General features: G+C 31.5%; 1 long non-coding RNA gene across 1 annotated transcript; it reads left to right on the top strand.

Annotated features, from left to right (window-relative positions):
• The first annotated feature begins 423 nt into the window (after positions 1–423).
• Positions 424–12,567, top strand: LOC124906206 (uncharacterized). Its single transcript, XR_007096281.1, has 2 exons — positions 424–1,292; positions 12,028–12,567. It is a non-coding gene; the product is annotated as an uncharacterized LOC124906206 (long non-coding RNA).
• Positions 12,568–13,171: the final 604 nt, after the last annotated feature.

Consider the following 13,171-nt stretch of genomic DNA (forward strand, 5'->3'; position numbering starts at 1 on the left):
CCTTCTTGCTCTCTTAGAAGGAGCACTCTTGGGGAACCAGCCACCAGGCAAGAAGACTCACTATCTGAGACTGCCATACTGTAAATAAGTCCAAGCTAGCCACATGAAAAAGCTGCATGGGGAGATGGAGATGCCCAGTCTGTCTCCTAGTATTCTAGCCTTCTCAGCTGAAGCACTAGACATGTGAGAGAAGAAACCATCTCAGATATGCAGCCCAGTCAAGCTTTCAGATGACTCCTGTGCTGCCATCTGACTGTAACCACATGAGAGACCCCAAGCAAGATCCACATACTGAACTCAGTCAATTCATAGAATTAATTTTGGGGTGGGTTGTTACATAGCAACAGAAACTTGAATAATTTCTTATAAAATCATCGGAGTATAGTGGAGTTCAACCATATTCATGGATTATCATTTATTAGAAAGAATTCCGGATGATCGTAAAACAATCTTCTGAATTAAAACATAATGAATTAAACCAAATACGCGAGTAGTCATGCTCAAGCTTGGAAACCTTCTGCTGGAACTTGAAATGGGAAGGGTGAGTAGTAAAGGGATAGTTTAAGGAAGTTTCAATTACCATTAATCAGAATACACTCATACCATGCTTCTCCGGCCCAGTAGTACATAGCGGTACAATAGATCAGCAGGTTTTCACAAGCATAGGTTATAAGTGTAGGTGTAACTAAGGAAGTTTCATTTAATATTTAATTACATTTAATATCAAGATCATATTCAATATTAAACTGATATTAATTAAATACCTTAATTATAATTATTTTCTATTTCTATATGGCGTCTGGAGATTTCAGTATGTTCTACAGTTTTCAATTAATATGATTTTATACAGGTTTATGTTAAGAGTAGACGTCTGCTATTAAATATGGCTTTTTTCCTTCTCCTAGTGTGTATTGGGGAATACAGAGCAATTGAATGTAAAACTTCCCCTGCTCTGTCTGACAGGTTACATGAAGCAAGGAGACAAAAATGATGTCTTATATGTGAACAAATATTGTACTAATTACTTCTTTTGTAGAGGTCAGTACTGAACATGATGGCAAGTAGTCTCAGTAACAGATTTGAAATCATACAAGAACAAGAAAAAAAGAGAATAACTACTGGAGAATATATCGTCCCGACTAATTAATTTTACTAACTGATTCTTTTAAACAATGGATACTTATTATCCATTAGGCATGGTGCAGAGGGCAGAAAGAAGACAAAGAACGAAGATAAAAGAAGCCTTTTTCCTCAAGAAGATTGTAATCTAGTGGTGGAGCTGGAAAATAAAGGTAAATAAACAAACAAGCAGAAAGTCAACATAAATCTCCTTCAAGATGTCTAATTCTACAGCATGTTAGAAATTCTAGGTAATTCTCTCATACCTGTGGAGAATATAATCTTGGAAAAAATATTCCATATCAGTTGAGTTGTGAAGACAATTCATTCTTAAAAACAGACACTTTGGCATGTTTGTATATTTGCCTCTAAAATGCACATATGCATATACAGGCATGTAATATTTATGTATGCATATGTTCATATATGCTTATTTGATTAATGAATAATATCACACCTTTTCTAAGGCTTGACCTTCAGTTTGGATCTAGATTTTAGCTTAATTTTACTCATCCAAAAATACAGATACCAAAAGATAATAGTTTTGCTAATCATTTCTAATTTGCAAATTGACTTTTTAAGGCTTTACTAGAAAATCCTAAAAATCATTTTATAAAATATTGTACCTTATTCTCTATTTTAGTTTCTTTCATTGCCAGTTGTCCTTGTGACTCCCACTGTTTTCTCTGAATATTTAAAAATTCATCTGGATATCTCTAGATGGTACCACACTTTTAGGTTGTCCTAATCAATTTCATCAATTTTAGCTTTAAATTAAATGCTCATAATGATTTCTTTCTTTTAGTGAAAGTGGCACTACGTCCCCAATCTCGTAGACTTAAAAACTTCAAAGCTTTTTTTAATATTTTGTTCTTATATAAAATCATTTGCTAACTCCCAGGCACAATCAACCTCTGTCTCTTGAAGTTTTTCTGAAGTTCTTTCTGTGCTTAACACTATCTCCTAAATTCTGGTTTCATAATTATTCATCTGCACCCACCACCATTTTCCTGATACACTCCCAATTACTTTTACCTATACTATTTCTTTTTCAATTGCAGTCATCAGCTTCTAACATATGAGATTATTAACTGATTATGTATATGGATTATCTCATGTCTTTCCCTGCTGGAATGTGAGTTCTATAAAGGTGAGATCTTTAAATTATCCCAAACACTTAGGACATTACCTAGCACATAGTAGATCTCAATAAACAGTAGTTGAATGAATGCAAAATACTGTATCTAAGTCATGTTGCTTTCTGTAAGAATTTTAAAAATACTTTTAACATTTAATACTTCCTTCTTTTCTTTTCTCTCTCACACCATTTACAAAAAGATTTGTGCCCATGATGTGTTCAAGATATTTGCTTGAAATTAAAAGTATATACTTAGGCCTCTGGTTCATAGACGTACAAAGAACCAATAGTTTTAATCTAAAAGTGCAATTGTCTCCAGCTTTATTTCTTGTGTAAAAGACATCATTACAAATAACATATCAGAGCTACCTTCTTATTTGAAATTTTTGTTTTTTTAACATATCTTACAGGTTCTGTTTCTCACACAGTTCTTAGGTTTATCTAGCAGGTATTTCATTTAGCTATGATATTCTGACTTGGTCTCAGTTCTTGGTATTCCATTTTTAAAAATCTTTGCACGTCTTTGTATGTGCCTGTACTTAAGCCAGTAATCATATTACATTTGTTGTGTTTTTTTTCTTGAGTTGTATTACATTGTTCTTTGACCATGGAAGCCATTTGGCAATGGACAGTGAGGTAATTTTAAAAATTATAATAGCTTCAATAATTGGCCAAATAAAAACAAATTGGTATAAGAAAACATTGATTAAATCTGGTAATTTTTTTATTTGTAATCATTAATACAACAGTGCAGTACTTATTTTGTAGCTCAAATTGCTTCAGTTTTGACCACTAGGAACTCTTTTCAATCAGCCCCTGTGTCCTTTTTAAATGCTGTGTTTCTCTGGTTTTTGAACACTTTCTTACTTTCTGGCAAAGCAAGGTGCTCCACATTCAATATTCCCTGGCTCAGTCATGGAATCAGACATTTCTCTAAGAAGCTTTAGTTCCTATTATTGGAAAATGATATTTAGAACTAGTGCTGAGTGTGCGCTTTGCTACTCTTTTATTCATTTTATTTTTAATTTGTGTGACAATCTTTGGCTTGGAAATGGAAAATTTAGTTTATTATTTAAATCCAAATTAAATTTGGATTTAAATCTACTATTTGAATATTTATTTTGTATTTGTTCAACTTATTTTGTTTCTTTAATTTCTTATGTTATTTTCATCTGATTAAATCCTTGTTATTCTAAGTCTCATTCATTTGTAAGAAATACACTACTTAGACAATGCTAGTGTTTACACTAGAATTAAAGCATTCATTCTTGACTTATCAAAGTCTAATAAAACTATCTACCCTCTTTATGGACAATGCAAAAACCTTATATCCCTTTCACTCCATTTACTTCATATAAGTTTAAAAAGAAGTAGAAAAATAAAAAGAGGCTTAACTATTCCTATTACTGTTCATATTTAGTTGTATTTCTTTTAGTTTTAGTTTTCTTCTGTAGTTTTTTAAAAATAGCAGCTTGATTGAACATAATAAATCTCTTTCTGGACAGTGCAAAAACCTTATAATCTTTTCACTCCATTTATTTTTCTCCTAACTTGCACGCTATTCTTGTCATTTATTTTGACATTCTCTATATGCTATATATGTTTTAGACACTGTTTCTATTATTTTATATAATCTGTTTTAATTTAGATTTGTCCATACTTTTACCTCTTTCTTTGTTCTTTATTCCTTTCTGCATATCTAAGTTGCATCTGTAGTGAAATGATTACCTTTAGTGAAGATCTATTGGTGATGAATTTTTTCATATTTTCTCTTTGTGACAATGTCTATAATTCGTATATATTTTTGAAGGATATTTTCCACGGAAATAGAATTCTTGGCACATAGGTATATTCATCAGTACTTTAAAAATATTTTATTATCATCTGGCTTTATTGAGAAGTCAGATGTCAGTCTAATTGTTGCTCCTTTTTAGATATTGTCATCCCTCCTCCTTTCCCCCAGATAATTTGAATATTTTCTTTCTGTCATTGGTTTTCAGAACTTTTAATAGAATTATCCAAATCTCTCTGTGTGTGTGTGTGTGTGTGTGTGTGTGCGTGTGTATGCTCACATGCTGTTCTAGCTTTTTGGATTTCGTGTTTGTGAAGCTTTTTGAATCTGCGACTTGATGTTTTTTGGTCAATTTTTTGAAAATTCCCAATACCTGTAATTATCTTTTAAAGTATTGCTTCTATCCTTCCTCCTGTCTAGGTATGTCTCTCTCTCTCTCTCTCTCTTTTCCTTTTCTCTTTCTCTGTATCTATTCATATCTATATTTACATCTATCTCTTTCATTTTTTTGTTCTCTTTCTGTTAGGACTTCATTCCAGATATTTTCTTTTGATTTATCTTCCAGTTTATAAACACTCTCTCCAGTTTTGTTTTAGCCACTAATAAAACTTTCATTGAGTTCCAAGTATAATTTACTTACTATAATTTTCACATCTAAAATTTCAGTTTTGTTCTTTGTTGTGGTTTTAAGTTCCCTAACAAGCTTTTCAATTTTCTTATTTATCTTCTTAATTAAGTTTAGTTGATTTCCATTTTGTTTTTTCCCTGTATTCCATTATCTTGACATCCTGTAAAGCTGTTTCTATTGACTCTTTTTTCTCTTGGCTTTCATTCATTTGTTTTATCTCAGAGTATATAATTTAGTTTTCATTGAGAGTCAGTCATTTATATGAAACACCGTAGTGCTAATTGAATCTTCTACAAATAATTTACTCTTGATACTGGTGGGTGGTTAGGACATTTACAATTCCAGCTAACTTAATTACATTCAGAGTTTTTGATGCTTTCAAGCTAGGCTTTAGCAGCTCCAGTAGAGAGCCTACTTTGAGTTTCTCTTCATTCTTAGATAATAGCCTTTCAGAGTCCTATTTCAGAGTGTATTTTTGAGAATGTTTACCAAAATATTCTCTCTTGGTAGACGCTGGAATTCATCTTCCTAGTTTGGAAGCTAGTCAAAGTATTCATTAGGTTATTAACTTCTCAGTCATCAGCAGATGCCTCTAATGGAAAATGACATCTCCTCAACACAATGCTTATCAGTCTGGGGATCCTTCTTTTCCTGAATCTAAGTTTTGTGAACCTTCACTGTCTTCTTACTTCTCTGAGGTATTTCAGCAGATTTTTTAAAAGTGTTTTATCTAGTCTTTCTTGTGATTCTCAGTGCGAAGTTTCGTTCAAAATGCTTATTCTAATGTTATCAGAAGCAGAAGTTTGGCATCCATATTTCCTTGTGATCTTACGAAAATTTAAAGAAAATCCAAAATGTGGATAGATCACCACTCAAAATTTTTCATTCATATATATATATATATATGTGTGTGTGTGTGTGTGTGTGTGTGTGTGTGTGTGTGTTCGTTTTTGTAAACTACATATATAACTTTCTTTTTCATTAAAAAAAATGTTATTTTTACCTGATTGTCCACAGGCTTTGTGTCCAGATCCCAAAGATACAGATTACATTCTGATGGACACAACTTTCATGTGCAATAATCTGGTCTTTCTTGTATGTAAATCATTAGTTAGGTACAGAGTAAAATTATTTACAGAATTTTTTCTTAGTAAATTATATTTTAAAATTAAAGTTCAAGGTTCTTTGGTAACACACAACAGAAACAAACTATGATTGTCAAGAGCCTTGAGTAGTTCTGAGGATTTTAGAAGTAGGAGCTAATAGATAGACTTTTCAGAGGTATGCTCTGGGTTGAATAAACTCCAAACAGTTTTATGCATTGGGTCTCTGCTCAAAACACTTATTTTGCCTTGGAGCCCTATTAACAAGGAAAAGTACCACTCAACATTTAAAAAACATAACCATTTACGGAGAAATTTGTTTTTTCCAGACACTGTTATAGATCTCACTTGATTGCATATTCATAACAACTTTGCAAGATAAATATTACAATTATCATAGTATACAAATTTTAAATAACTTGCCTATTTATTTTCCTGGAGTCAGAGAATTATGAGTAATACTGATCTTACTTTGGAGGAAAAAATAGGCTTGAAGAGTTGAAATAATGTTCTTAAAAATATAGGATCAGTAAGTGACAAACCAGGATTTCCACTTTGATTTCAGTCTTTCTTCTGTACCACATTATATCTTTATATTTGAAAACTGCTCATTTTTATGAAATTCATAAGGAAAAGTTATGACAGAAAATTGGCTTTCTTTGCTGAACTTAAGAGAGTGATAAAAATTGCAAAATAATTTATATCACTCTCTTAAGGTCAGCAAGAAAGCCAATTTTTGGTTGTGTGTTCATTTTGTCACTACATCTTCAAGATTGTAATCTGTGTTGGGGTATAGCTACCTTACAACAATTATAATGTTTTAAAAAGATGACAAAAAATAAAATAGTATAAAATATGTATATTCCAGAATGGAGCTGGACATCATATTGCTGGACATCAAGAGAATAGGATCCAGTACTGATATGGAACAATATTACCATTGATTAGTTAATATAAGTCATTAGAAGCTCATCAATAAGACCAGGCTTATCTATACTAGAACAGGTCGCTTTAGAGAAATTTCTAGATTAAAAATACAATTTTATTATTTTAGCTGAGAGTAAGCCTTTCGAAAGTCAGAGGAATTATATAGCTTGTCATTAGTGTTAGAAATCCTCAAAATCCAAACTAATACTCTCTGGCAAAACTTGCAAGAATTTGAGGTATACTTGAAAGCTAGTTTTCTTTATGCCTAACTCCCAAACATTCTTTAAAAGCCACCTTATCCAGTAGCTTAGTATTCTTTTTATTTCACATAATTTTTTCTACATTTATGATAAGGTAAAAATTGATTACCTATAACTGAGCCATAATGTCAATAATTCATGTGTCACCTTATTTATGTGGCATCCCATTTGTAAACTGATGCCTGAAAATCACCTACTCAAAATCCTGAGCATGATAACCTGATTTGTTTTAGTTCCCTCCATGAAATTATACACACAAAACCTTCTAAAAAAGTTTCTAAGTCAGATGCTTTCTTTTGTCATGGTATCAAATTATAATAATTTAATTTTAGCCTATCTTTATTCATATTTTAAGGTCTCTCATGCTAATAGAATATTATGATATATTAAAATTATTATTTTATTTACAGCACAGTGGGACTCTATTGGATATTTATACTCATTAAATCTATTCTCAGAGTTTGCAAGTATAAATTATAGAATGGCAGTGTATAATTAGATGTAAGTACTTTTTTCAATGTAAATAACAAAATACGCCTAGACAGTTAAGGACATAAAACTAAACTATGGAATCTAGTACTTTGATAATAACGTATTAATTTAAATATTATTAATGAGGTTATTTTTGTTGTTATTAAATGAAACAACTGCTAGAAATGAAGACCAATTATTATGAAAAGATGAGATGGTACTTAACCAGAAGGTTCTCCTGGCAGGCTTGGTGCATCTTGGTGGGTATATCTGGTATGGATAGGTGCAGGATGGAAGTCAGCACAAGCAATAGATCCCAGAGAAAGAGGAACAGAATAGTATACAATGACCTTCCATGCCAGCTGGGAGGGGAATGCAACCTGCAGGTATGAGCATAAAATACAGGGACTTTACCTGCTGACATAACCTAGAATTCTCACTTTCTTTTATATAGTCCAAACACTATATATTTGCTTTTTGTGCTATATTGTGTTTCACATTCATTAAAGTTTTTTATTATGTCTTTATTACATCTTCCTAAGAGAGGTATTTTTCTATATTTTGAAGGTAGCAATTTTTCTATTTAGCAATATTACACAAAACTAATTACATGAAAATGTTAAGGCTTTCTTTCCCTGAGATAGTTATTTTATAATGTTATTACACTTAGGTTATCTTCTCACAACTGTTCCTCAAGGAATGTATTATTATTCTTCTTCTAAAGACTCCTATTTGGTGACGTGAAGTTCTCTCAGTCAATGTATTAGCAGAACCATTTTCTAAACCCAGATTTTTCTGGCTAACCCTTAATGCTTTCTGCAGTCCAGAATGATGCAAAAATTATTTGTTTCCCAAAAACCAAGACTATGTACACTTTCAAGTAATATATTCTCTTCTGTATATAAAGGTTGCGTAACAAACCCACCATCATTATAAAATGAATTCATCTGCAATTTTGTTTTTGTTTTTTAATTTTGTATTTCCTATGCATTTGCAAAATGGCTGAGTAGGCAGTTACACATGAGTGAAATTGTATGTCTTATAAGAGATCAAATCTGAAAGCTTAACATCAATAATATCATGCTCTGATCTTCGTGGTGATATTTTTGCACCAAAAATCATTATACATATTTTTGACTATCATAGGATGACTGAGTTTGAACGGCCCTTGCAAAAATGTATCTTTGGACTGCCATGTATTTTTTCAGTATTTTCTATACTCCTTTCTGTCTTTTTCACTCTTTTTCCCAGTCCATTTTATTTCATTTTGTATTTTTTCATAGGCTGGTTATCATTTTTTAAATATGTTAACCGATCATATTTAAAATAAAATATGGTTTCACATAAAGTTCTGAAGAATGGAACCATAACATTAAAATACCAAATGATAGAGTTTCTGTTTTAGATGTCTTCCTTTATGTCCTCCTCAAAGCACAGCATATGTGGTTGCCCAATCTACTAAACTGTAAATTGTAAAAAAAAAAAAAAAGAAAATTATGTGTATTTGTTTTGTACAAATCTCTCTGTGTGTGTACTCATATATGCATGAATAAATACTTAGAAAACTACCTTTATGCATATATATAGTATATATATATATATATATATATATACTAACAGGTGCTGGTAAATGTTTCTGCATAAAAATATAATCTATCTCCTCTGACCTCTCATAAGACAAGTTCTAATTTGAAACAATTTAAGGAGGACTTTGAGAATAGTTAAATATTTAATCCTTTTAATACACAAAAAGAAGAGCTAATTGAGGTAGAGAAATGTCAGAATAAAACTTATAGGAAAATATAACCATAATACCTTTCCGTCAGGTCCACACTAAAAATTAAAAAAAAAACCCTAGATTTTACTCAGGCATTGTTTTCTTGATATTATATCCAGTGTTAGTTGCAACATCTACATTAAAAATAATTAATTTTTTAACAATACCAATTTGTTAATAGCACTTATGAGTCAAAAAATTATGCCATTAAGTTGGTGCAAAAGTAATTGTCATTGAAAGTAATGGCAAAAACAGCAATTACTTTTGCACCAACTGAATAAACAAAAGTCAATGCTTTTTCTTCTTTTGAAGTTATTTGCCAACAGGTGGTTAAATAACACATGCAAATGGAAAAACTAAGCCAACTAACCACTATACTTAAATGACTATATTTAAGCAACCACTCTGTTTACCTTTTATCTAGTCTGAATAGATCCTTTTTAATTACTGCTAATTATTTAAGATATTTTTACATCCCCCAGAAGATTTAGTCTAAATAAATTTAATTTCTTTAAACTCTCCTCCAGTTATAGGCAAATACAGTAAGAAGCCCCATAGGTATGGCAGTAATGTAGTCATAAACGCAGATGCATTGAAATGAGTAGTGCAAGGAAGTCTTCCCCGAAAGAGGGGAAGAAAAAGCTGTATGGTTGGAGATGCAAGAAGCAAACATAAAGCACACAGTTGAAACATTTAGGATGACTGTGAAAAAGGTCTATGTTCACTTGTTAAAGAATGTGCTAGGGCAGACTAAAGCATGTGAATAGTTCTTTCACAGGTCACAGCATCCATTCAGCCCATGGACATTGTTATTACCCGACAGGAATAGATGGGCCTAATTAATATTCTGAACATACCTGAGAGAACATTCTTAAGGAAATCATCCTCTGGTGGTTTGGAAATTTAAAAAAAGAAAGGAAGAAAAAATAAGAAGAGAAAAGGAAAGAAAAGAAAAAAAGGAAGAGAAAGAAAAGAAAGAAAAAGAAAGGAGAAAGAAAGAAAGAGAGACTTAACAGCAAGCATTAAAAATTGGATCAAGATAACAAAGTCAATAGCTCTCGGTGTTTAATGCCAGCTATGAACAGGAGTCTTGTTTGAGTACATTTCTTAGTATTAAGAGTTGTGCTTTGTGAATTAAAGTTGAACAGTAGTTTAAATTTACTAGTAATTATATTCTTGACATTTTGTTGAATAACAGGCAAAAATCAGCTACAGAACGTTTGTCATAGGAAACTTGCAAATTCATATAGTAATGAATAATGAAGCAATTTATTAGTTAGATACTTATTAATGTAAAATGTATACACTGAAAATGCAATATCAGAACACACATTTGGCATTTAAATGGAAAAGTGGGAATGTCGTTGGAGAAACAACCACCTACAATGAATATTTTAAATATTTCAAAATGTGTTCTAGATAAATTGTTAAATATTAATTTCAGTATATGATTAAATCCACATATCTCATATGCAGCTAGCATATAGTCAGCAACGAACTTTTCAATTTTTTTATTTTGAACATTTATAATAGAATATCATTTATGCAAGATTACCTATAATTGTACTTATAAAAATATGTTGTTAATAGTGATTTAAAAGTGTGACAAATTTATAAATACAATAAAAATAAAAAATATTTGACTTAAAATAGAAGTTGAAATGCATACATATATACACATATTAGTGAAAGAAAAGGATAACACTATAAAATATTTTATACAATAAGATAAAAGTACTTACTGAAGAAATTCATTGTTAGAGTTTCTATTCTATTTAAATACCTGCATTTAACAAACTAATTCATTCTGAAATGGGAGTCAAGTGTTTAGTGCCCAAACCCAATACAGTACATATAAAACAAAATCCCTTTTGAAATGAATGGAGCCATTCATTTCCAACACACAAAAAGCTGCACTTCCTTTGTCATGCTTCTCTAAAGCCCCTTGATAGCATTATTCCTTTTTACGGTGCTTTAGTTATAGATGTTTCTCTGCTGAAAAATCACAAAAAAAAAACGACAAGTAGCAAATACCTAAATATGTAACAGATGTATAAGTGTTCCTTGGGATAAATAAGTTATGGACAATTAACTGTCATCATATCCCTGTCTCTGTTTCTACTTGCTCCTGTAGTGTACACCTGTGGCTTATTAGGAATATCACCAAAGTGGTGACACAAATTCCAGGTTCAAAGGTAACCTAGGAAAATCTGCTTTCTTACTCCTTGAGTGTTTCTTATAAAAAGAACAATAAACAGTGTAGAAACAAAGCAGTGTATGAATATCTTTTATCTTTGTCTGATTGTAAGTATATTTCAAATTGGCTAATCTAAGGAGGATTTGACACTACTTCAAAAGGTGCTAAATGCAACTGGTCTATTTTGAATTCTAACAAACCAAACCAATTGTTAAAAATTTTATGAAAAAAATCAGAGAAATTTGAATACTGGTTAGATTTTTGATGACACTGAGGAATAGTTACTTTTTTCATGATTTTGAGACACACATGATGAAGTATTCATGGGTGAAATAGTGTGCTTACCAGAATATTCTTCAAAATAGTTGGAATGGTGAGAGGGAAGTGGATGAAAGTATTGTGTTGATTTAAAAATTTGTCTAAAAATTATTTGATAATCCTCTTTTCAACAAGTGGAGACTAATTCCTCTCTTCTTGAATGTGAGCAATGTTTAGTGACTTACTCCTAATAAATAGAATGTGACAGAAGTGACAATGTGTGATCTCCAACACCAAGTCATTAAAAAGCATGGTGCCTTCCTCTTTGTCTTCTATCTTATCTCTCTTGCTCTGTAGGAAAGCAGTGGCCATGTATGTCATGAGGACATTCCAGTAACCCCATGTGGTAAGGAACCAAGTCAGCCTGCCAACAACCACTGAAAAACTGAGCCCTCCTGCTGACAGCCATGTGAGAGGAACACCTGGGAAGTGGATCCTCCAGGCCTGGTCATACTTCAGATGACTGCAGCCCAAGCCAACATCTTGCTTGAGTGGAGCCTCATGAGTGACTCAGTCAAAACCACACAGCTGAGATATTTCCAACCCACAGATACTGAGATAATAAATGTTTATTGCTACTAGGTTTCCTTCCTTCCTTCCTTCCTTCCTTTTTCTCTTCTCTTCTCCTTCCTTCCTTCCTCCCTCCCTCTCCTCCTCCTCCGTCTTCTTCCTCTTCCTCTTCTTCCTCTTCCCCTTCCCCTTCCTCTTCCTCCTTCTTTCTTTCTTACTTTCTTTCTCTTTCTTTCTTTCTTTCTCTATGAAAATATCAGGTGTACTATATTTTACCTGCCTTCATGTATATTTGAATAATTCCATAATAAAACTTTTTAAAATTCACTTGTATTTTTCTTTATTTTTCTAAGGATTTAATTTAAATAATAACTATTAATAATTTAGTTAAAATTTATTTTCTTTAAAAAGAGTCATGTTAAGCCCCTTCACAATTTTTCCCCAATAATATTTACATACATTTGAATTTTCCTCACCATCATCCAGCAACTTTCTAAAAAAATAAATCTTAATAGAAAGTTCACACTAATAAAAACATGTAGGATTATAAAATAGATGACCCTAAAAAGGAACTTGGAGAAGTGATTTTGTTACCTCCCCACACCATAATATTTATCATTCTCCCACAAATAAACATATTCTGTAAGTAAGACTGTTTTCTTGGCAAGCACAGCTTCCAGATAAAATCCTCGAGCTCATTGTAGCAAAAAAGAAACAAACAAAAAACTACAAATATTAAAAAATATTAGCTATAAATATTTAGTAGTCTTGAACTAAATGCTAAATGAAATTGAAATACATTTTATTCTTAAGGAAAACAAAGCTTTTGTTTTTTAATTTTCTCACAGAGTGAATTCCAAAGAAATTAATTTTTAAAATTGTGAGTCTTTTGAGCCTGAAAATGCAAATTCTGCGTATCATATTTTATAGA

The sequence above is a fragment of the Homo sapiens genome, chromosome 3, assembly GCF_000001405.40.
Source record: "Homo sapiens chromosome 3, GRCh38.p14 Primary Assembly".
Classification (NCBI taxonomy): domain Eukaryota; kingdom Metazoa; phylum Chordata; class Mammalia; order Primates; family Hominidae; genus Homo; species Homo sapiens.